This window comes from Homo sapiens, chromosome 4 (genome assembly GCF_000001405.40).
Source record: "Homo sapiens chromosome 4, GRCh38.p14 Primary Assembly".
Taxonomy (NCBI): Eukaryota; Metazoa; Chordata; class Mammalia; order Primates; family Hominidae; genus Homo; species Homo sapiens.
This window is the reverse complement of record NC_000004.12, coordinates 109,302,699-109,326,848: the sequence shown is the minus strand read 5'-3', so window position 1 is coordinate 109,326,848 and position 24,150 is coordinate 109,302,699. Positions and strand designations below refer to the sequence as shown.

At 42.3% G+C, this 24,150-nt stretch overlaps 1 long non-coding RNA gene across 1 annotated transcript, besides 1 other annotated feature; it reads right to left on the bottom strand.

Annotated features, from left to right (window-relative positions):
* Positions 1 to 10,713: 10,713 nt before the first annotated feature.
* Positions 10,714 to 23,814, bottom strand: COL25A1-DT (COL25A1 divergent transcript). Its single transcript, NR_160939.1, has 3 exons — positions 23,522 to 23,814; positions 13,408 to 13,506; positions 10,714 to 12,272 (listed from the first exon to the last, which is right to left on the bottom strand). It is a non-coding gene; the product is annotated as a COL25A1 divergent transcript (long non-coding RNA).
* Positions 23,337 to 24,119: an enhancer, noted in NCBI's record as "OCT4-NANOG hESC enhancer chr4:110223886-110224668 (GRCh37/hg19 assembly coordinates)". NCBI's record gives its function as "activates a minimal SCP1, AML or CMV promoter by ChIP-STARR-seq in primed H9 embryonic stem cells {active_cell/tissue: H9 hESC(primed)}" and the evidence as "EXISTENCE:reporter gene assay evidence [ECO:0000049][PMID:30033119]".

The following is a 24,150-nucleotide window of genomic DNA, read 5'->3' as shown; positions in this document are numbered from 1 at the left end:
AGGATCCATTTCATCCACATACTTGGTAAATTGGTGCTGGCTATTAATAGGAGGCTTCGGTTCTTCCCCACATGGGCTTCTTCTTAGGCTGGTTGAAAGTCTTCATGACATGGCATCTTGCTTTTCTTAGAGAAAGCAATCTAGGGGGAAGCAAAATATACTCATCCTCTCTCAAGACCTCCCCAGATCTCATCACATTGCAGCATCAGTTTGGAATGTATCACGTTCAGGACTCCTGAGTAGTCCTAGTTAACCAGCTTCCTCAGGAGCAACTTCCTTTTGGTCCAATTTGCACCAAAGATGAGTCTTAGAAACTGTCTGATAGTCAAGCAGTTTATTCATTCTGGCATCATTCTTACAAGATGGATAGCAAGAGCAGACTATAGCATGGGCCAGATAGTCGGGAGTCAGATGGCCACCTGACCAGGAGGGTCTTCCTCTGAAGACCATTCTCAGAGTTTGGGAGATTCTTCCCCATTTCTCATAGTTGTATTCAATCTGGGTTGGTTGCCAGGTCTTTTTTTTTTTTTTTGAGACAGGGCCTCCAGCCCAGGCTGGAGTGCAGTGGTGAGATCATATAGCTGCAGCCTCAAACTCCTGGGCTCAAGTAATCCTCCCACCTCAGCTTCTTGAGTAACTAGAACTACAGACACAAATCACCATGCCCAATTAATTAAAAAAATTTTTTTGTACAGACGGGATCTTGCTATATTGCTTAGGTTCATCTTGAACTCCTGCTCTCAAGGAATCTTCCTGTGTCGGCTTCCCAAAGTGCTGAGATTATAGGCATAAGCCACCACGCCCAGCCTCAGATGTTTCTTTCAAAAAGAGAGTTTAAGCTATTCTTGTAATAGTAAGCAATGTTTTAAGGTTTATGAGTTGCATTGTGCTGAGGTGATTTTGTCTCCTGGAAATCCCTGGGCCAGGGTTAGAAAATCCCCAGGCCAGGCTGCCTCATGCTGCTAAGTGACACATAGTGTTGGCTCTCTGAGATGTTTGTGTGGGTCTTATGGCTATCATAGGCACACTAGGTCTCTCACTATATCACAGACCTTATGGCTATCATAGGGACACTATATACTATATCTCTCAAAGTATACAACAAAATCAAAGATCTGATCATTTGGCTCAGATCCAGGTGGGAATGAAGCTCTTCAGATGTGGTTCCTTGATTAGGAACCTCAAGTTCCTCTCCTCAAATATAGTTACTCTTCGTATGAGGACCTGTGAACTAAAAAGACAAGGTATGTGCCCCACATCTACCAAGCATGCAATAGTGAGACTGACGTAAGATAAATGCTATAGTAATTCCTGTTTAAAAGTGGGAGAAAAAAGACCACAGGAATAACCAATCCACAGAACTTCTGAAATTCAGCTAGAATTTGGAATGTTTGAGGTTCTTTGATTAAGACTGAGGCCTCTTCCATTCCAGGAATGATTTCTTTTGTGGCTCTTGGCTCTGCATTCTGGCTCTTTTTTCCTGCTTTTAAGTTATTTTTCCTTTCTGTAAAAGGTAGCTTGTGTTTGCAGCTCTACAATTTTTTCAGCCTGCTTCCTGCCTATAGAGGTTTTGGGGTCCAAAGGCCTCTTTTCCTCTTTTACTGTTTCTGTTCATTTCAGTCTAAGTAGATGTTTTTGAAATTATTATTTTCTTTAAATATTTGTTGGTCTCCTATAAATATTATTGGCATTGACTGTACCTTGAGTTTCTGCTGAGCCTACTGAGGAACAGCACCCTTAAGCTTTTAAGAAGCTCCATTGTTTGATGAAGCGTTCTGAGGTATTTCTAAGGTCTTAAAATATTTTTATAACCATACTCTCAGCTTTTCTGTGAGTCTCTTGATTCAACTTTGTTCAACAGTCATTTATTAATATTAGTGTCAGTTATCATCTGGAGAGGCTGAGAATTTTTAATCCCAACAATTCCTGGCTTCTTTTGATTTAATTGTCATTAGCTTATCTATCTTCTTTTATATTTTACCATACACAACCAGAAGAAACCTGTTGGCATCTTCAAAAGTCTAAATGGAATCTACTCAGGTAGGTCACATAATTCATTAAGTACATTTTTTATACTCTTTATGTTATTGCAGGCAACAATGTTGTAGCATCTTCCTCTATATAGTACAAATCTCTTTCATTATAGTTTTCAATGACACTTCTTCACTATCCTTTAAGCTGCCATCTGAAGTCTCCTCTAAGGAAATTAGGCATTGATATGGTGTGGCTCTGCATCCCTACCCAAATCTCATCTCGAATTGTAATTCCTACATATTAGGGAGCGATCTGATGGGAGGTGATTAGATCATGGGGGTGGTTTCCCTCATGCTGTTCTTATGATAATGAGTGAATTGTCATGAGATCTGACGGTTTAAAAGTGTGGCATTTCCTCCCCCCTCTCTTTCTCCTGCCACCATGTAAGATGTGCCTTGCCTTCCCCTTTGCCTTCTGCCATAATTGTAAGCTTCCTGAGGCCTCCTAAGCCACACAGAACTGTGAGTCAATTAAATCTCTTTTCTTTATAAATTACCCAGTTTCAGGTAGTTCTTTGTAGCAGTGTGAAAACTGACTAATACAGAAAACTGGTACCAAGAGTGGGGTACAGCTATAAAGATAACCTGAAAATGTGGAAGTGACTTTGGAACTGGGTAAGAGGCAGAGGTTGGAACAGTTTAGAGGGCTCAGAAAAAGAAAGATGTGGGAAAGTTTGTGACTTCCTAGAGGCTTGAATGATTTTGTCCAAAATGCTGATAGTGATATGGAAATGAAGTTCAGGGTGAGGTAGTCTCAGGTGGAGATGAGGAACTTATTGGGAACTAGAACAAAGGTCAGACTTGCTATGCTTTAGCAAAGAGACTGGCAGCATTTGGCCCCTGCCCTAGAGATCTGTGGAGCTATGAACTTGAGAGAGATAATTTAGGGTATCTGGCAGAATAAATCTCTAAGCAGCAAAGCATTCAAGAGTTGACCTGGCTTTCTCTGAAAGTGTACAGTCATATGCATTCACAAAGAGATGATCTGAAACTGGAACTTATGTTTAAAAGGGAAGCAGAACATTAAAGTTTGGAAAATTTGCAGCCTGTCCATGTGGTAGAAAGAAAACCCCATTTTCTGGGGAGAAATTCAAGCTGGCTGCATAAATTTGCATAAGTAACAAGGAGCCAAATGTGAATAGCCAAGAAAATGGGAAAAATGTCTCCAGGACATTTCAGAGATCTTCACAGCAGCCCCTCCCATCACAGGCCTGGGGGCCTAGGGAGGAAAAAATGGTTTCATGGACCAGGTCAAAGGCCCTGCTGCTCTGTGCAGCCTCAGGACATGGCACCCTATATCCCAGCCACTCCACCTCCAGCCATGGCTAAAAGAGGCCAAAGTACAGCTCAGGGAATTGCTTCAGAGGGTGCAAGCCCCAAGCCTTGGTGGCTTCCATATGGTGTTGGGCCTACAGGTGCACAGAAGACAGGAGTTGAGCTTTGTGAGCCTCTGCCTAGATTTCAGAGGATGTATGGAAATGCCTGGATGTCCAGGCAGAAGTCTGCTGCAGGGGCAGAGCCCTCATGGAGAACCTTTACTAGGGCAATGCAGAGGGGAAATGTGGGGTTGAAGCCCCCACACAGAGTTCCCACTGGGGCACTGCCTAGAGGAGCTGTGAGAATCCTCCAGACCCCAGACTGGTAGATCCATCAACAGCTTGCACTGCACATCTGGAAAAGCTGCAGGAACTAAATGCCAGCCTGTGAAAGCAGCCAAGGGAGCTGTATCCTGCAGAGCCACAAGGGCAGAGCTGCCTAAGGCCTTGTGAGCCCACTTCTTGCATCAGCATGCCCTGGTTTTGAGACATAGAGTAAAAGAAGACTATTTTGGCACTTTAAGATTTAATGACAGCCCTGTTGGGTTTTGGACTTGCATGTGGCCTATAGCCCCTTTGTTTTGGCCAATTCCTCCCATTTGGAATGGAAGCATTTACCCAATGCCTGTATCCCCACTGTATCTTGTAAGTAACTAACTTTTTATTTTATGGGCTCATAGGTGAAAGGGACTTGTCTCAGATGAGTCTTTGGACTTGGACTTTTAGGCTAATGCTGGAATGAGTTAAGACACTGGGGGACTGTTGGGAAGGCATGATTGTGTTTTGAAATGTGAGAAGGACATAAAATTTGGGAGTGTCCAGGGGTGGTATTGTGTCCGGAATTGGTTCCTTCTGGTGGGTTCATGGTCTCGCCTGACTTCAGGAGTGAAGACGCAGACCTTTGCAGTGAGTGTTACAGCTCTTAAAGGTGGTGCGTCCAGAGTTGTTTGTTCCTTCCGGTGGGTTCGTGGTCTCTCTGACTTCAGGAGTGAAGCCAGAGACCTTCACAGTAAGTGTTATAGCTCATAAAGGTAGTGTGGACCCAAAGACTGAGCAGCAGCAAGTTTTATTGTGAAGAGCAAAAGAACAAAGTCCACAGCATGGAAGGGGACCTGAGCGGGTTGCTGCTGCTGGCTTGGGTGGCCAGCCTTTATTCCCTTATTTGGCCCTGCCCACGTCCTGCTGGTCCATTTTAAAAAAATTATTATTATTATACTTTAAGTTCTAGGGTACATGTGCACAACATGCAGGTTTGTTACATATGTATACATGTGCCATGTTGGTGTGCTGCACCCATTAACTCGTCATTTACATTAGGTATAGCTCCTAATGCTATCCCTCCCCTCTCCCGCCACCCCACAACAGGCCCCGGTGCGTGATGTTCCCCATCCTGTGTCCAAGTGCTCTCATTGTTCAATTCCTACCTATGAGTGAGAACATGCAGTGTTTGGTTTTTTGTCCTTGCGATAGTTTGCTCAGAATGATGGTTTCCAGCTTCATCCATGTCCCTACAAAGGACATGAACTCATCCTTTTTTATGGCTGCATAGTATTCCATGCTGTATATGTGCCACATTTTCTTAATCCAGTCTATCACTGATGGACATTTGGGTTGGTTCCAAGTCTTTGCTATTGTGAATAGTGCCACAATAAACATATGTGTGCATGTGTCTTTACAGCACCTGCTGGTCCATTTTACAGAGCACTGATTGGTCCATTTTAAAGAGTGCTCATTGGTGCATTTACAAACCTTTAGCTAGACACAGAGCACTGATTGGTGTGTTTACAATCCTTTAGCTAGACAGAAAAGTTCTCCAAGTCCCCACCCTACCCAGAAGCCCAGCTGGCTTCACCTCTCAGTGTGATATGGTTTGGCTCTGTGTTCCCACTCAAATCTCATCTTGAACTGTAATCCCCACATATTAGGGAGGTACCTGGTGGGAGGTGACTGAATCATGGCAGCGGTTTTCCCCATGCTGTTCTCATGATAGTAAGAGAGTTCTCATGAGATCTGATAGTTTTAAGAAGTGTTTTAAGAAGATAGTTTTAAGAAAGAGGAAGTGTGGCACTTCTTCTTTCTCTCTCCTCTGCTGCTATGTAAGATGTGCCTTTCTTCCCCTTTGCCTTCTTGTCAATTAAACCTCTTTTCTTTATAAGTTACCCAGTCTCAGGTAGTTCTTTATAGCACTTTTAAAGTGGACTAATACAGGCATCTACTAACACAGTTTTCTAGGCTTTCAGACTTTTTCTATTACTCTCTTCAAGGTCCTTCCATAAAGGGTTTACATATGTTCAGTTTTATAGATAGTGACAGTTTTCTGAAGTGCTTGTGCAAATTTACATTACAACCAGCAGTGTGTGAGTTCCAGTTGCTCCATATTCTTGTTTAAATTTGTTATTATTTCTTTCATTTTAGCCATTGTGGTAGGTGAACAGTGGTATCATATGGTGTTTCAATGTGCATTTTTTCTTATTACTTATAGGGTTGAGCACATTTAAGAACGTTTATTGTCCAAACAACCCCATTAAAAAGTGGGCAAAGGACATGAACAGGCACTTTTCAAAAGAAGACATCTATGTGACCAACAATCATATGAAAATAATCTCAACATCACTTATCATTACAGAAATGCAAATCAAAACCACAATGAGATACCATCTCACACCAGTCAGAATGGCTATTATTAAAAAGTCAAAAAATAACAGATGCTGATGTTGCAGCTTCTTTAGTCCCATAGTTCAGCGAGCAGAAGGGAGAGACACCCAGTGGCTTCTTCATTCCTGTAGTTCAGTGAGGAGAAGGGAGTGTTACAGCTCTTTCACTCCTGCAGTTTGGCGAGTTCCAGGTTCTTGTCTCATGACCAAGTGGAATTAGGTACACAGACACTGGACAGTGAACAAGACAGAGTAGAATTTTATTGAGCAACAGAAAGAAAGCTCTCAGCAGCAAAGAGAACCTGAAAGTGGGTTGCCATCTGTAAGGCTGAGTCCAGGGTTTTTATGGGGTTAGAATGGGGGAATATGTGCTTATTGCTTATGGGTGGGCTTGAAAAAGGCACCATTCGATTTGTTAAAAGGCATCATTCAGAAAGAACTCATCGAGAGAGAGTGGGTAAGATGGGGATGGAAGTTCTCACTCAGGTCCATGGATTCTATCCAAAACTGGTAGCTTGGTTTTTAGGCATTAGACTGTCCTTGGCTTGAAGGTCAAGTTTCACCAGGGACCTGTCCCTATCTGCCTAGGAATTTGTCTGTCTCCTGTCCCTATCAATTCCCCCTCTGAAGAGGTATATCTAGCTGCCATTAGGATAGGGATAATGACTACTCTACCTGCTTCATGCTGACAGGGGGCATTGTTTTGGGAAAATGGCAGTCGGATCTCTCTCAGAGGCCTATTTAAGGGTCCCTGGTAAAAAGAAGGCCATCATTCAAGGCTCCATTTGCATGACCATTTACCATTCGATGGCCTCTAGGTGAGAAGAAACAAATTTTACAAGAAGGTTAAGTATTCATGGACCAATTATGAGATTATACAAAGAGGAGCTAAAAGGGAAAAATCCATGCCAATGCGAGAGATAACAGAAACAAGAAGTAAAATAGACTAGTCATTCTGAAAACAATGTTGTGACCAGAGCTGTTTCACCCTTGTGAAATAAATAAAATCTTGTATAGGGGAGGGCAGTTACATTTTAGAAGAGATAGCAGTTTAGGAGAGTAGATAATCTCATGGGTGTTCAGAATTAAGGGATCCTTGGCAAATATGCCTTATGGTGAGGAAAAGAACAAAGGCAAGAAGAACAAGTATAAGCAAGACTATAAAGAGGATATCCATGGAAGGTTAATTATTGATACTTATCTTTTCTGATCATCAGCTCAAGGTCTCTCTTCACATTGGTACTTCGGGTGCTCTTCTGGGTCAACAGAAGTCATTCTGTCAGTTCTCCAGGCCTTTACTTGAGTATATGAATCCAATAATCTATTCCAGTGACCTTTACTGCTGAAAGAGTAGAAAGAAGTGCAGTCTAAGTTCCCGCCCAATCCAGGCCTAGAGAGGGAAAAAGAGAAGGAAGAGCCTTTACCAGTACTAGGTCCCCTGGGTTGAATAAAGTGGGCCCCTAGTTCACGGGATTGGGCCTCCAATAGTTGTTTCAGTTCCTGTTGGAAATGGGCCAAAGAAGTTACATGTTTAATCAAATAAGAAGTTTCTTGGTCTAGCAATAAATAATTGGTGAGAAAATGCTGTCCATATATCATTTTGAAGGGACTTAACCTCAGTTTCAAAGGGGTGTTTCTAACACATAGTAGGGCAATAGGAAGAAGAGTAATCCAGGGGAGATGAGTCTCCTGAGACAGTTTTCTGAGGTGCCTTTTGATAATATCATTTGTCTTTTCTACCTTTCCCAAGGATTGTGGTCTCTAAGCACTATGAAGATGGTATTGTATGCCTAGTGCCTCTGAGACCCCCTGGGTGATAGCTGCCTTGAACGAGGGGCCATTATCACTCTGGAGGTACTTAGGGCATCCAAAGTGAGGAACTGTCTCATCAACTGGTACTTTTATTACCTCATTGGGTTTCTCTGTTCAACATGGAAATGCTTCTACCCAGTTAGTGAAGGTATCTACCCAAACCTGGAGGTACTGGATGCCCCTTATCTTTGGCATATGGGTGAAATCTATATGCTAGTCTTTTCCTGGGTGGCCTCCCATTCTTTGGGTTCTTGCTGAGAGAGGCCATCAATTGAGAGGATTATTTTTAAGGCAAGTCTCACAAGCATTAATGAGCTGTTTGATCATTTTAGCAGATTTTTTACCTGAGAACAACCTTTGGGCCAATTAATAGGTTTTATCCTTTCCCAGGTGGAAGGCTTGGTGAAGAATTTTAAGAACTTTCCATTGGCTAGAAGCTGGTAGATGAAGTTTGCCATCCTCTTATTGTAGCCACTCTAAGGGCTAAAAGGTGTATCCCCAAGAGGTGGCCCATTCTGTTTCTGCAGGAGAATATTGAGTTTTTTATTTCTGTTACAGAGCCCTCCTAGATCAGAGGGGCTTCAAGTGGATCAGAAATCTGGGACCCTCTCATTGCTGATTTAGCTGCTTGGTCTGCCAGTTTATTTCCCTCAGCTCTTTCATCCATCCCCTATGGTGGCCTTTACAATGTATTACTGCCACTTCCCATGAAAGGAAAACTGAGGATAATAGTCTATTAATTTATTGATAGTATTTAATGGCAAACCCATTAGCTGTGAGAAAGTCTCTCTTTCCAGATAGTGGGATGAGCATGAAGGACTAGAAAAGCATGCTTATAATCAGTATAAATGCCAACTGCTTTCCTTCTGCTTAATTCAAGCACCCTCAAGCTCAGCTGTTGAGAAATTGTGCCCGAAGAGAGGTGCACTCTCAATAGTGTCATTCAAGGTGACTGCTGCATACCCTGCTTCATGGATCCCTTGTTCTACAAAAGAACTTCCATCCATAAAGAGAGTCCAGTCTGGGTTCTCTAAGGAGATTTCCTTGCGGGCCTCTCTGGCTGCATAGGTTTGCACTGCTATCTGTTTGCAGTCATGTTCAGTCTCCTCAGGTTCCTCTGGGAGGAAGGTGGCTGGTTTTAGACAGGGACAGGTTCTTTTTTTTTTTTTGACGGAGTCTCGCTCTGTCGCCCAGGCTGGAGTGCAGTAGTGCTGTCTCGGCTGACTGCAAGCTCCGCCTCCCGGGTTCACGCCATTCTCCTGCCTCAGCCTCTCAAGTCACTGGGACTATAGGCGCCCGCCATCACGCCTGGCTAATTTTTTGTATTTTTAGTAGAGACGTGGTTTCACGTGTTAGCCAAGACAGGTTCTTTTTTTTCTTTTTTTATTTTTTTGAGACGGAGTCTCGCTCTCTCTCCCAGTCTAGAGTGCAGTGGGGCGATCTTGGCTCACTGCAAGCTCCGCCTCCTGGGTTCAAGCCATTCTCCTGCCTCAGCCTCCCAAGTAGCTGGGACTACAGGCGCCCGCCACAACGCCTGGCTAATTTTTTGTATTGTTTTTAGTAGAGAAGGGGTTTCACTGTGTTATCCAGGATGGTCTCAGTCTCCTGACCTTGCGATCTGCCCGCCTCAGTCTCCCAAAGTGCTGGGATTACAGGCGTGAGCACCGCGCCTGGCCCCAAGACGGGTCCTTAACTGAACTGTAGATCCCTCCAATAGCAGAGCCTGATATTTGAGGAGGCAGTTGTCTGTTAGCTAGAGACTCCCCTTAGAAGACAGCAGTCCTGCCACATTATGTTATTATTCTCCATGGTTAACTTAGTAGCCTCTGGCACTAGCAAAGCTGCCACTGCAACTGCCTGGAAGGCAGGCTAGCCATCCTTTAGCTACCAAATCAAGCTCCTTGCTTAGGTAGCCTACAGGCTGCTGGGCTGGACCTCAGGCCTGGGTTAGAACTCCCAAGGCCATTTCCTTCCTTTTTGATACATAAAGATTGAACAACTTCCCTATGGGAAGACTAAGGGCTGGTGCCCCAAGCAAGGCTTATTTCAATTGGTCAAAGGCCCTTCTGGCCTCTGGTTCCCAAATTCCGGAGTGATCTTGGCTGCCTGAGTTTATTAGGTGATACAAGGGATGAGCTATCTCATTGTACCCAGGTATCCATAATCTGCAGAATCCTGTCATGCCCAAGAATCCCCTCAGTTGTTTGAGGGTTTGGGGGAAGGGAAAGGAGGAGACAGGGTTAATCCTTTCTTCACCCAGTGCCCTGGTCCCCTCTGACAAGACTAGACCTAAGCACTTCACTGAAGTCTGACAGAGCTGAGCCTTAGATTTTGAGACCTCATATCCTCTGTTAGCTAGAAAATTAAGAAGAGGCTTAGTGTCTTCCTGAGAGATTTCCTCAGTTGGGGCACAAAGGAGAATGTCATCTACATTTTGTAAAACTTTAACCCAAGTATGAAGGAACCCAGAGAGATCTTTTGAGAATGCCTGTCCAAACAGATGAGGACTACCCCAGAATCCTCGGAGTAGCACCATCCAGGTTAACTGGGTGGTCTAGTTGGAGAGACCCTTGAATGCAAACAAATATTGGGAGTCAGGATGTAGCAATTTGCAAAAAAATGTGTCCTTTAGGTGCAGGACTGTGAACCATTTAGTTTCCTCAGGTATTTGAGTTATGAAGGTATAGGGATTGGGAAACACTGGATGAATTGGAACTACAGCCTCATGAATGAGGCAGAAGTCCTGGATCAGTCTCCATTCCCCATTGTGTTTCTGTACTCCCAATATTGGGGCACTAGAAGGGCTGTTGCAGGGTTTGAGGAGGGCCTGCATCCTGAAGTTATCAATGATGGCTTCTAGCCCTTTCCTAGCTTCTAGTTTTAGGGGATTTTTTTTCTGGTTAGGGAAGGAGGTGGGATCCTTAAGGTGGATCCAGATCAGTATGGTGGTTGTGGCTCAGCCAATTTTCCCTTGAATTGCCCAAATTTCTGGATTGATATCAGTCTCCACCAGGGGGAGGCAAGGAGTGTGTCCTGGAGCCATAAGGATGGTGGTTCACATATAAGCTAAACTATCCCTGCCTCCCAGAGGAATTGGGCTTTCGGGCATGATTAAAAAGACATGAGTAAAAACGAGGTCTCCCCAACTACAACTAAGGGGTTGGAAAAATATCAGGTTAAAAGCTTTCCTGAGACACCCTTCATGGTCATGCTAAGGGAAGAAGGGAGGCCTGGATTGGAGAGGAGAATAGAAATGGCTGCTCTGCTATCCAGGAAGAAGTTCACCTTCCTCCCTTTGACCTCCAGAATCATTCAGGGCTCCTGGATGGTAATGGCAGTCTGAGCTGTCAGAGCCAGGGACAGGAGCCCTGGGGCCCATCAATCCTGTTAGACACTTGTGAGACTGGCTTTGGACCCAGTGACCTGCATCTCTGGGGACAGTCCACCCTCCAGTGGTCCCCACCACAGATTGGACAGGGTCGAGCTGGCTTCCTCATGCTGCCTGGGCAGTCGTTTTTAACATTCCCTGGTTTGCCACATTTGTCGCAGTTAACAGGTGCATCTTTGGGATTCTGGGGTTTGTAAGCCTGCAGGGTGGCCAATAGATTTTTCTGTCTTTTTCTTGCATATCCTCTCCCTTTCTTGGCACTGTATGAGATACAAAGCTCATCCACAAACTTCTCTGCTGCTTGCAGGGCTGTTTGCTTCTCAGTGGTAGTCAAAGTTTGATTCAAAAGTAACATAACATCCTTCCAGGAGAGTTCAAATACTTGGTTTAAATTCTGGAAAGCCTCTGTATACCCTTCAGGGTCATCTGAAAACTTACCAAGATCCCCCCTAATTTGTCTTAAGTCCTGTAGAAAAAAGACATGAGTAAACACGTCTATACCTTAATGGGGCCATATTCACAAGGCATCTCTTGTAGGGCCATGAGTGAGGCTGGGACCTGCCTGAAACGAGGATTCCTAGGAGAGGACAAGCTTGAGAGAGAACCTGGATAGGGAGGACATGATGGACCAGGAGTAGGACTGGAGGGGTCTGATCCCCCTGCTGGAGGCACCTCTGGGGTTTACTTCCCTGGAATTTACTTCCCTGGGGTTTACTTCCCTGGGACTGTCCTTTGCAGCCTCTCCTGAGATGACTGCTAGGCAGGCTGGATCTATCCTACAATATCAGCAAAGGTCCAGATTATCCTGCAAGGCAAAGAAAACCTGCATGTATGAGACCTCAGACCATTTGCCTCCATGTTTACAGAAACGGTCCAGCTGCAGGTTAGCATTAAAGTTGATACTTCCCTCCAGAGGCCAGGCTTCTCCATCCTGCTGCTTATAACCTGGCCAAGCCCTTGTGCAAAGGAATATACAGCATTTTCTCTTCAGAATCTGCAGGTCAAAGGATTCCCAGTGATTCAGGATGCACTCTAGAGGAGTGCAGGCTGAAAATAGTTTGTTACCCATCTGAAAAGAGAGAGGGGAGAAAAGGTATCCTTTAGACTCTTCTCTATCCTCTTGAATTTGAGTCACCCCCTGAATCTCAGCACCTAGTACTGGTGCCATGGATGGGCTGGTGGTGTCTACATCATGGATATGAACATCACCTCCACCCATGAAGTGGGAAGGCCTAATTGGCAGGGATAGTCATTCTTACCTGTGCTGTGCCCTAGCCTTTTGCTGTTGACTGCCTCTTGGTCCCTCAAATCTAGTTTTCTTTATAGGGCTCCAAATCGAAGCTTGGAAAATACAATGGAGTAATACTAAGGTGAAGGTGTGGAACCAGATCCTCCTCAAACAAAGGAAAGAAAGGGAATCCTGGGAATTGGGGACCTGGCCTAATAAGATGCCTCCCAAAAGGAAAACATTAATCCCTTGCATGGAAAAGCTCCTTGTATTCGCAGGATTATGTTGACTCTGACAGGGTGGAAAAAAGCAATTTAAATGCAGAGGAGGGAAGGTGGCTGGGGGAAATAGCCTCTTGTTCTGTGGTAATGAGTTTCTTCAACAGGGGAAAGAAAACTCTCTTAATTGTTACATCCCTCTATTTCTAAGAATAGACAGAAGCAACATTGTTCTGGATTACACTCCTGATGACTAAGCCAAGTCCTCATTCTATCCAGTAATAGTATCTCTTTTCGTTGCAAAAACACCGGTAACATTGTCTATAAATAGGGGATAGCAGTCAGGACACTCTTGAAAGAAAGAAAATTAGATAGGAAGGACTGAAAGCCTTGGCCTGGCACCTGAATGGGCTGTGGGGGATTGGAGCTGGTCCAGGAGTCTTCAGGTAACACCAAAGTGTGCCTTGGCCAGATACCTTCAGTTGTTCAGGACTTTATTCCAACCTACGTAATGGCTAGACTTCCAGGAAAGGAAACTGGATTGGAACAAGGCCAACATTCCCAACACCCAAGGATGAAGGGGGACTGACAATGTCCTCCCGAGCAAGTCTGTCCTCTGAGTCTTGTAGATTGGCAGTTGGTCTATTCACCCTTAACTGTCTAACAGAGACTTGGTGTTTTATCTGTTTTCGAAAAAAAAGTGAGGATGAGAGTCCTCAGAAATGAAAGTAAAGGGTCACAGGTCTGCTCTTACTCACCCTTCTGAAGACCTGGACGAGCCTCCAGAAATGTTGCAGCTTCTTTACTCCCATAGTTCGGTGAGTGAGAGGGAGTGGCTCCCAGTGGCTTCTTCACTCCTGTAGTTTGGCGAGAGGGAGAGAGTGGCACCAATCAACTTCTTTACTCCCGTAGTTCAGCGAGTGGGAGGGAGCGTTACTGCTCTTTCACTCCTGCAGTTTGGTGAGTTCTGAGTTCTTGTCTAATGACCAAGAGGAGTGAGGTACATGGACATTGGAGAGTGAGTAAGGCAGAGTTGAATTTTATTGAGTGACAGAAAGAAAGCCCTCAGCAAGAGGGGACCCAAAAGTAGACTGCCATCAGTGAGGCTGAGTCCAGGGTTTTTATGGGCTTAGAATAGGGGAACGTGTGCTGATTGGTTTATGGGTGGGCTTGGAAAAGACACCATTCAATTGGTTAAAAGGCATCATTCAGAAAGAACCTATTGAGAGACAGTGGATAAGGTGGGGATGGAAGTTCTCACTCAGATCTGTGGCTTCTATCCTGAATTAGTAGCTCAGTTTTCAGGCTTTAGACTGTCTTTGGCTTGAAGGTTGAGTTTCACCAAGGACCCATCCTGTCTGCCTAGAAATTTGTCTATCTCCTGTGGCTATCACAGCCAAGGTTGTGGAGAAAAAGGAACATTAATACACTGTTGTTGGGAGTGTAAATTAGTTCAACCATTGTGGGAGACAGTGTGGTGATTCCTCAAACACCTAAAGACAGAAATACCATTTGACCGAGTAATCCCATTACTGGGTATATAACTACAGAAATATATATTGTTCTATTATAAAAAAATTCATGTGTATGTTAATTGCAGCACTATTCACAATAGCAAAGACATGGAATCAACTTAAATGCCCATCAATGATAGACTGGATAAAGAAAACATGATACAAATACACCATGGAATACTATTCAGCCACAAAAAAGAATGAGATCATGTCCTTTGCAGGGACATGGATGGAGTTGGATGCCTAACCTTAGTAAACTAATATGGGAACAAAAAATCAAATGCTGCCTGTTCTCACTCATAACTGGGAGCTAAATAATGAGAGTATAGGACATATAGCGTGGAACAACACACATTGAGGCCTACTAGAGGGTGGAGGGTGGGATGGAGGAGAGGATTTGGAAAAATACTAATGGACATTAGGCTTAATACCTGGGTGATGAGATAATCTTTACAATAAACTCCTGTGACATAGTTTACCTATGTAACAAACCTGCACATGTACCCCTGAACTTAAAATAAAAGTTAAAAATGTTTATTGGCTGTTTTTTATTTTTCACTTATAAAAGTGCTTATTTAAGCTTTTGCTAATTTTTTTTATTAGGTTGTCTGATGCTTTTTCGCATTGATTTGCAAGAATTCTTATACATTCTAGATAATAGTCTTTTCTCATTTCTATATTTTGCAAATATCTTTTCTCATTCTTTGTCTTGTATTTCAATCATTTTAAGTTTTTTTAATAAACAGAAGATCTTGATTTAATATATTCCAATTTATCAATCATTTCCTCTGTGGCTAGCTCTTTACGTATATTATTTAGAAAACCCTGCCTCAATCCAAGGTCATGATTACATTCTCCTTTATTATCTTTTAAATGCTTTATGCAAGGGATCTTCAAAAAGTTCACGGAATAATGGAATTAAAAGGTAAAAATAAAAAATATAAACTTTATTTCTCAAATTAAGCTCCATCAAGTTCTAGACACTTTTGTCATCAATCATCCAGACCTTTCTTTAGTGCATTCCTAAAGAACTGAGGGTCTTGGGAATTTAACCATGTCAATGCAGTCTTTTTTAACATTATTACCTAAAGAAAAATGAGTGTCCCTTAAAGATTTTTTAAAGATTAGGAAACAAAGAGAAGTCAGAAGGAGACAAATCAGGACTGTAGAAACTCTTCCCAATTTGCCCTTGTTAAATGAGAAAAGAATAAACGGGAGCATTGCCATGGTGCAGAACTCTCTGGTGAAGCTTTCCTGGGCATCTTTCTGCTAAAGCTTTGGCTAAGTTTCTCAAAACATTCTCATAATAAGCAGATATTATAATTCTTTGGCCCTTCAGAAAGTCAACAAGCAAAATGCCTTGAGCATCCCTAAAAATTGTTGCCATGACCTTTGCTTTTGACTGGGCTGCTTTTGCTTTGACTGGACCACGTCCACCTCTTGGTAGCCATTGCTTTGATTGTGCTTTGTCTTCAGGAGCATACCGGTAAAGCCATGTTTCATCTCCTGTTACAGTTCTTCAAAGAAATGCTTCAGGATCTTGATCCCACTTGTTTAACATTTTCATTGAAAGCTTTGCTACTGTTGGCAGCTAATCTGGGTGCAGTGGTTTTGGCACTCACTGAGTGGAAAATTTTCTCAACTTTAATTTTACCGTCAGATTGTGTAAGCCAAATCAATCGCAATGTCTATGATGTTGGCTATTGTCTCTGTTCTTAATTGTTGGTCCTTTTCAATTAGGGGATGAACACCATTAATTTTTTTCTCATGTCAATGAAAAGAGTCAAACTCTGTAAAATATAAGAAGAGTTTGATTCTGCACCAAATATGAGCGACTAATAGCCTGGGGCACATTCCCAAGGAGTCCTAAGAACATGTGCCTGAGATGATCAGGCTACAGCTTAGATTTATACACTTTAGGGAGACGTAAGACATCAATCAATACGTGTAAGATGTACATTGGTTTGGTCTGAAAAGGTGGGACAACTCAAAGCAGGGGCTTCCAGGTCATAGGTGAATTCAATGATTTTCTGACTGCCAATTGGTTGAAAGAGTTAAATTACTGTCTAAAGACCTAGAATCAATAGAAAGGAATGCCTGGGCTAAGATAAGGGGTTGTGATGACCAAGGTTTCCATTATGCAGATGAAGCCTCCAGGCAGTAGGCTTCAGAGAGAACAGGTTGCAAATGTTTCTTTCCAGACTTAAAAAAGTTCCAAACTCCCAGTTGATTCTCTCCTGGATCAGGAAAAATGCCTGAAAAGGGAAGGGGATTCTCTACACAAAATGTAGATTTGCCCCACAAGAGACAACTTTGCAGGGCTGTTTCAAGAAATGGCAAAGAAACATATTTTGGGGTAAAATACTTTGGTTTCTAACAGGCCTTGCTATCTGTCATGTTGGTATCTTCTTGCTATAAAAAGACTGTTCTGTCGGTCTTACGGTCTCATTTTAATGTTAATGCTGGTCAGCTGTGCCTGAATTTTAATGGGAGAAAGGTATAATGAGGCATGTCCGACCACCCATTCCCAGGATAGCCTGAACTAGTGTTTCAGGTTTACCTTAGAATGCCCTTGGCTGAGAGGAGGGGTCCATGCAGTTGGATGGGGGACTTAGAATTTTCGGTTTACACTCACAAATTGAAGTATTTGTGATGATAAATTGGACCTTTATTTTCAAAACCATCTTGTCCCTTCTTAAAATGAGTTATCCATTTGCAAATTGCTGATTTCTTTGTGGACACTGTCTCCTTAAGCTTTTTGTAAAACATCAATGATTTCACGATCCTTCCACCTAGCTTCACCATAAATTTCATAAATTTGGTATCTTTACTTGCTTCAATTTTAGGAGAACTCCTGTTATTCTGATGCGGACTTTTTTCAAACTGACGTTTTATCCTTAATGCCTCAAACTAGATCCTATTAAGATATGGTCTAACAAACTAGTATGAGTTTATTTTGGTGCAAAATATTTCGAAATCCATGCATAGTTTTTTCAAAACATGCATCTCCAATGAACTTTTTGAAGATCCCTCATATTATCACCTTTTATATTTAGGTTTATAAACCACCTCCCTTTAACTTTTGTGAATTCTATGGAGAAAAATTTAATTTCATTTTTTTCTGTGTGAATTTATAGCTAAATTGATTGAAAAGTTCACCTTTTCCTTACCCCTCTGCAGTGTTATTTCATTCTCATTTTAAGTACTTATATATATGTGGGGCTTTATTCTACTTCTTTGGTTTAATTTCTGTCTCTGAAGCAATACTAAACTGTGTTAATTACTATACCTTTATAATATATTTTACTATCTGATAGAATCACATTCTCTTTTCTGTTCTTCTTTATAAAAAGTGTCTTAGTTAATCATCATCTCTAAGTGAAATGAAATTGTTTTCTCTGTTTTTGAAATACACAAAATAAAAACTTATTTATAAGTATTCATAGCAGTTTTATTTATATAGCAAAAAATGGACACAATTTAAATACCCACCAAAGGAACAGATGAACAAGTCATGGTGTATTCTAACAGTGGAATATTATGTCACAATAAAAATGAACAAAATATAACACTATAGACAAATCTCAAAAACATGTTGAGCAAAAGAAGCCAGGCACATAAGAATATCTATGGCTGGGCACAGTGGCTCATATCTGTAATGCCAAAAATTTGAGAAGCTGAGGTGGGAGGATCACTTGAGCCCAGGAGTTTAATACCAGCCTGGGCAACATAGTGAGACCCCATCTCTAAAAAAGAAGTTAGCTGGGCACGGTGGCACCTGCCTGTAGTTCTAACTACTACTCAGGAGGCTGAGGTGGGAGGATCACATGAGCCCAGGAGTTTAAGACTACGGTGAGCTATGATCATGTCACTGCACTCCAGCCTGGGAGACAGAGTGAGACGCTGTCTCAAACAAAACAAAAACCCCCCAAAACCCCCCCAAAAACAAATAACAAGACTATATACTGTATGCTTCCATTTATATGAAGCTCTAAAACAGGCAAAACTAATCTAAAATGATATCAAATACATTAATGGTTGCCTGTTGTAGGGACTTTTCCAAATCATCCAGTAGCTGAAATGCTGCCCTGATGCTATTTTATACTTGTAAACTGAACTAGGACTGAAATCACGATTAGGATATACCGTTGCCCCATAGCATAATTGTATACATTGTTCTTGCCTTTCAGTGTCTATGGGTCAATAAACTGACACTTTAAATAGCATCAATCACTTTAAATATATATTATTTAAATAATAACAATAGCATCAACAAGAGGTAAATGTATATTGCACTTAATATCTACCAGGCATTGTAATGCCTTCACAAACCACTCCAGCAAAAGATCCTAATGGTTAAGTATTATCATTCTTGTTTTATATACGGCCCAGAAAAATGAGGCATAGAAAAGTGAAGTAATTTACCCAATGTCCCACAGCTATTAAATGGCAGAGCTGGATAATGAATGCAGGCAGACTGGGCTTGGGTTCTGTGTTCTTAATCACGAGCTGACTCAATGATATGAACATGTTCAGTGTATGTAGCATTATAAGAAAAAGTTGATTTGGAAGTTCAATGAAAAGTTGCCTCTTGTTTGAGTTAGCAATATAATTGGTGACTTTTGGGGAAGAACCCATTAAGTGGGGCTATTAACTTGTTATTTAAGATTTGAAGAAAAAAAATACCTCCTCCTTCCAAATAAAACAAAACAAGAACAAACAACAAACATAAAACTGACTCTGCACAGAGGATTGATATTTTGGAGGGCTTGTATTATCCAGATTATTGCATTCATACAGTTGTAAGCCCCTTGCTTAACCAGGCTTGTATAAATGGGATCAGTTCCTTGATCTGTTTGAAAAAGAATTTTTCAGCCTGTCACTAAGAGTCAAATCCTTCTTTTCTGCTCTTCTGCTCCTAAAGATATTTATAATTTGTTTATGATTTATTGAAATTTGCCTGGCTGTGGGAGAACTGCATCTTTTAAGTTTCAGTTCACTTAACTCTTTGCTGCCTACTCCATTCCCTTTAGGAAACTTTGTCTTCTTAAAAGATGTTTCCATGAGCTCACGTTCCCATCTGAAGAATATAAAATAACATGCTTAATACTATACACAGTGTATTCTCCCATTTTCTTTATTAAGGTACTTAGTGGACGTAACTGGTGGTTGTGGGTATATAAAGATGGCCACAGGCTGGGCGTGGTGGCTCACGCCTGTAATCCCAGCACTTTGGGAGGCTGAGGTGGGCGGATCACCTGAGGCTGGGAGTTCGAGACAACCTGACCAACATGGAGAAACCCCTGTCTCTACTAAAAATACAAAATTAGCTGGGCGTGGTGGCGCATGCCTTGTAATCCCAGCTACTCAGGAGGCTGAGGCAGGAGAATTGCTTGAACCCGGGGGGCAGAGGTTGCAGTGAGCCAAGATCATGCCATTGCATTCCACCCTGGGCAACAGGAGTGAAACTCAGTGTCAAAAAAAAAAAAAAAAAAAAAAAAAAAAAAGATGGCCACAAATCTCTTCATACATTCGCTTCTGCTTGATAGCTTTGTTGGTGAACTTAGGTTAAAATTGTGGTTATAAAAACCCAAGCCTCAAAAACTAATGGTGCTAAAATATATTTTCTAATGAAACTAAAATTTTTTTTGCAATGTAGTTAATATCTAAAAAGAGCATACCATGATTATCTCAGCTGTTTACTTTGGGCAGATAATCTTTCTAAATACACATAAACCATCAGAAATTTTAATATACGTTAGTTCCTCACTTCTATGCTTTATCTCCTTTAAAGATTAGCCTCTTAGAGGTATACAGGAGTGGATTATGTCTTTTTCTTTTTTAAAAATGAACACTTTTACCCACTTAAAAAGCTCCTTTCTTCTGTCTCAATTTTCTGCTTTATCTTTTCTTGCTCTTTCTCCAGGTGCTTTCTTTATTAAACTTCCTGATGTGCCTCTCTGTCATTAGTCTTTATTTCATTTTTTCTGGCATGGAGATTGGTAACAATAGTACTAGTGGTGGGCTGGGTGCAGTGGCTTATGCCTGTAATCCCACCACTTTGGAAAGCCAAGGCAGGAGGATCACTTGAGTCCAGGAGTTCGAGGCCAGCCTGGACAACACAGTGAGACCCTATCTCTACAAAAAATAAAAAATTAGCCTGGTGATTACCTGTGGTCCCAGCTACCCAGGAGGCTGAGGTGGGAGGATCATTTGAACCCAGGTGGTCCAGGCTGGAGTGAGCCATGACCATGCCACTGGACTCCAGCCTGGGCAACAGAGTGAGATGCACTCTCAAAATAAATAAATAAATAAATAAACAAAACAAGCAGTAGCAATGCTGAGTCCTGGGTCAGGATCCTGGCTAGGCTAGCATTAGTAGGGAGGAGAGATGACAGTGACTGTACAGCTTGGATGATTTATTGTTTTTGAGTTGCATTAATGGGAGGAATCAAGGAAACAAATTATTTTATTCAGTTTAATATGCCTTCATAAAGGGCATCCTAATTTTACATGACATGAGAGAGGGCATATCTCTCTGATCCTTTCCCAGTGGGCATATCAATGAAATAGAAATGTATAAACATTTGACAGACAGGGCTTTGTTACTACAGGGCCTGCTTGAGTTATAGGGCATTATGGTGGTTCCAATATCACTTATGCTGTAGCAGATGAACATTGATTTCCTGTGATTGCGATGATATTGGTTTCCTTTGCTCTTGTAACAAATTATCACAAATTAGTGGTTTAAAACAATACAAACATTAATTATAGTTCTGATAGCCAGAGGTCCTACAATCAAGGTGTTGGCAGGGCTGTGTTCTTTCTCTAGGCTGTAGAGGAGAACTTGTTCCTCATCTTTTGCAACTTCTGGAAGTTGCTTATATTCCTTGATTTGTGACTCCCTTCCATCTTCTACACCAGTATTCACATCACTCTCACCTCTGCTTTTGTTGTTACATTGCCTCTCACTCTGAGACCCTCCCTCCCACTTAGAAGGTCCCTTGTGCTACGCTGGGCCCACCAACATAACTGAAGAAAATCTCCCCACTTCCAGATCTTTAACTGAATCATATCTGCCAATCTGTTTCAGCATGCAAGGTAACACATTCACTGTTTTGGAGATTAGGACATGGACATCTTTGGGTGTCCATTATTCTTCCCACTGCATACCTGTCCTATAGCCAGCTGTTTGCATTTTACTATTAATACCATTGATATTAGTCAGGCAAATTGGAGTCAGCTAGACTATAGCATTTTTAGTACTATTTTTACTTTTTTGGAAGCCTCCACATGGGAACCAAAATAACTATGCTTTGATCAATCTACAGAACAGCATGCGTTCAAATCCTCAGAGCTTTGTTGATCCACACGTTCTCTGTGCTTGATGCAGAGAGTCTACCAGGTTTTGAAATCTTAGCGCTAATGGCTGGTAAATTTCTGAGGTATTGTGCCCACCAAAGACATAAAGCAAATCTAATCCTCTGGATAAAGATCTCAAAGCCACAAAATTCCAACTCTATCTCTCTACTAAGATCTAATAGTGCTGAAGGCTTGCCAGAGTTGTTAATGTACCTTCTCATGGCCAATTTACACAAAGCATGCTATAAGAACATTGCATCATCCAAATTAAATGTGTAACCTACTGTAGGCATCAGTCAAGACAGAAAATGGCTTTTCTACTGAAATTTTAAGAGTGGTATGTTGTCCAAAAGAAAAAGCTCTTTATTCTCATTGTCTCCATACTTCAGAGAAACTGATGTGGAGAGTTTGAGAGGAAGAATGAGCAATGAGGCTAGTGAGATGGTAGACAGGGGGCTTTGTTGTGGGGGTTGAAAGATGTAAGATCTTTGTCCTAAGGACAACCAGAATTATTGAAGGACTCTAAATAGATGAGGAGAGGAGGGCAAGGGAGAAGTCAGGGCCGGCAACTGGGTATTTTGGCTTGGGGAGACTGGATGGATGGCAACTCCATTGGCTGAGATGGGAAACAGAGGAAGCAGACAGAATTTGGAGGTAAGCTGCAGGTTACATTGGAAATGAGAGTGAGACATCCAAACGGAGATGACAAAGAGGCAACTGGCTATATGGATCTGAGGTTCAGGAGAGAGGTTTGGGCTTTTGATATGAATTTATGACTCATCAGTGTAATGGGAACTCTACTGGAGAGAGTATACAGAGAAGATGGAATAGACAGAGACCCAAGGAGCACCAACTTTCAGAGAAATGAAAGAGGAAAAGCCTGCAAATGAGACTAAGGAACAGCTAGAGGTTACAGAAAGAGTTTGTACATTAAAATATTTGTACCCATTATTTGGGTCCTGTTATTGGAAACATGTTTAATCACAATTAAATGTGACTTGAAATTTATCTGTTTTAAAATTTATTTAAAAACGTTGTTTATATTTAAAAGAGGAACAGTAAATCCTCACATCGCAGGGTTATGAGGTTCAAATACAAAAAGTATTTGAAAATATTTTGGAAAGTATTATACCAGTGGTTCTCAAACTTTAGTAGTATATATCAAAATCATTTGGAGGGCTTGTTAAAACACAGATTGCTGTTTTTTTTAAAATTATTATTTCAGTAGTGGTAGTAGCAGTTTCTGATTCAGATCTGTGGTAGGAACCTAGAATTTTAATGTCCAAGTTCTCAGGTGATGCTGATGTTATTGGTCTAGGACCATCCTTTGAGAACCACTGTGTAATACAAATGAATTATGGTTTTGACTTTATAGCCAAATTCATTGAGTTTTCCTCCAATGTTAGTCTCTTTCTTCCTCTAATGCTGTTATTTCCTTACCTTGCTTCACACCTAGCAATATCCGTTTACACATGTGAAAGACCAACTTAGTGAAGTATTTTGTTGACTGTTTACAATAGTAAGCAACGACTTCAGGTTAGCTTAATTAAGGAGAATAGGAAAAATATATGGTTTTTTTTTTTATAGGGAGATAAGAAGGAACTCTTTGGAATAAGAGGTGGGATTTCTGTTTTCCCCAAAGTCAATTAGATGTCAAATGCTACTTGTTACCAACTTTCCAAAATCCCATTAGAGACCTTGTAATTTGATCCAGAGAGAACAGCATTAAGAGTCAGGTAAAAGGAAAAACTGACTTCATTCTTCATTCCTTTCCTAAATCCTGAGAAATGTGTATACCTCAACACTCCCTTTTCCAATCCCGCAAAACAGGGAATCAGGAAAACACATTAGCACCCTAGTACAGACTAGGAATACAGAGCTGGGAGGAGACTCAGTGCCGTCAAGACAAGGAAACTGGGGGAGGGGAAGGAAAACTTCCCCTCGTTGGACAATCTGAGGGCTGCAGTGGGAAGAGAAGGGAAGTGGGGAAATGTACCTCAGACGTCGGCCAGACACTTTGCCTCTGGGCATGTGGGAAAGTGAGGGAGGAGGGAAAAGCGCTGCACCACAGCGAGATAGCAACAGCTCCTGCGGCTGCTTTTGAGTGAAGATCAGTAGAGATAGAGCGTGCCGCTTCACATCTTCCTCCCGGAGGCCATTTCTCCATTTTTATGTGGGATAAAAAGGGGGCGCTGGGCTGAGTCAGTATAAGCCAAAGTTGCCGCCTCTTGCGCAGCCGACCCCGCTTCGGCCCCGGCCCAGGCCAGAGAGGTGGCCCTCGGAGATGCTGAAGTTACTCCGCGCAGGGGGAGGGGTCGCCAGGCTCCTCTCCAATCACGGTGGCCGCTCCAGCTATTTGCATACATTATGCTAATAACAGACCTCCTGCCCCGCTCCCACCCAAGCTTCCCGCCTCCCTTGGGGGTTCCCCGGGCCGGCCCGCGGGCTGGGCCAAGGTGAATACATTATGATAATAAGGCGGGCTCCTGCTTTGCCTTCGGAAGGGGGGCGCGCAGCAGCGGGAGCGGCAGGCCGGACGCCGGGCGCCGGGAGGGGGTCGGGGGAGGGACGTCGTGCTCGGAGCGCGCGCGCACTCACACACTCACACACACACTCACGCGAGCA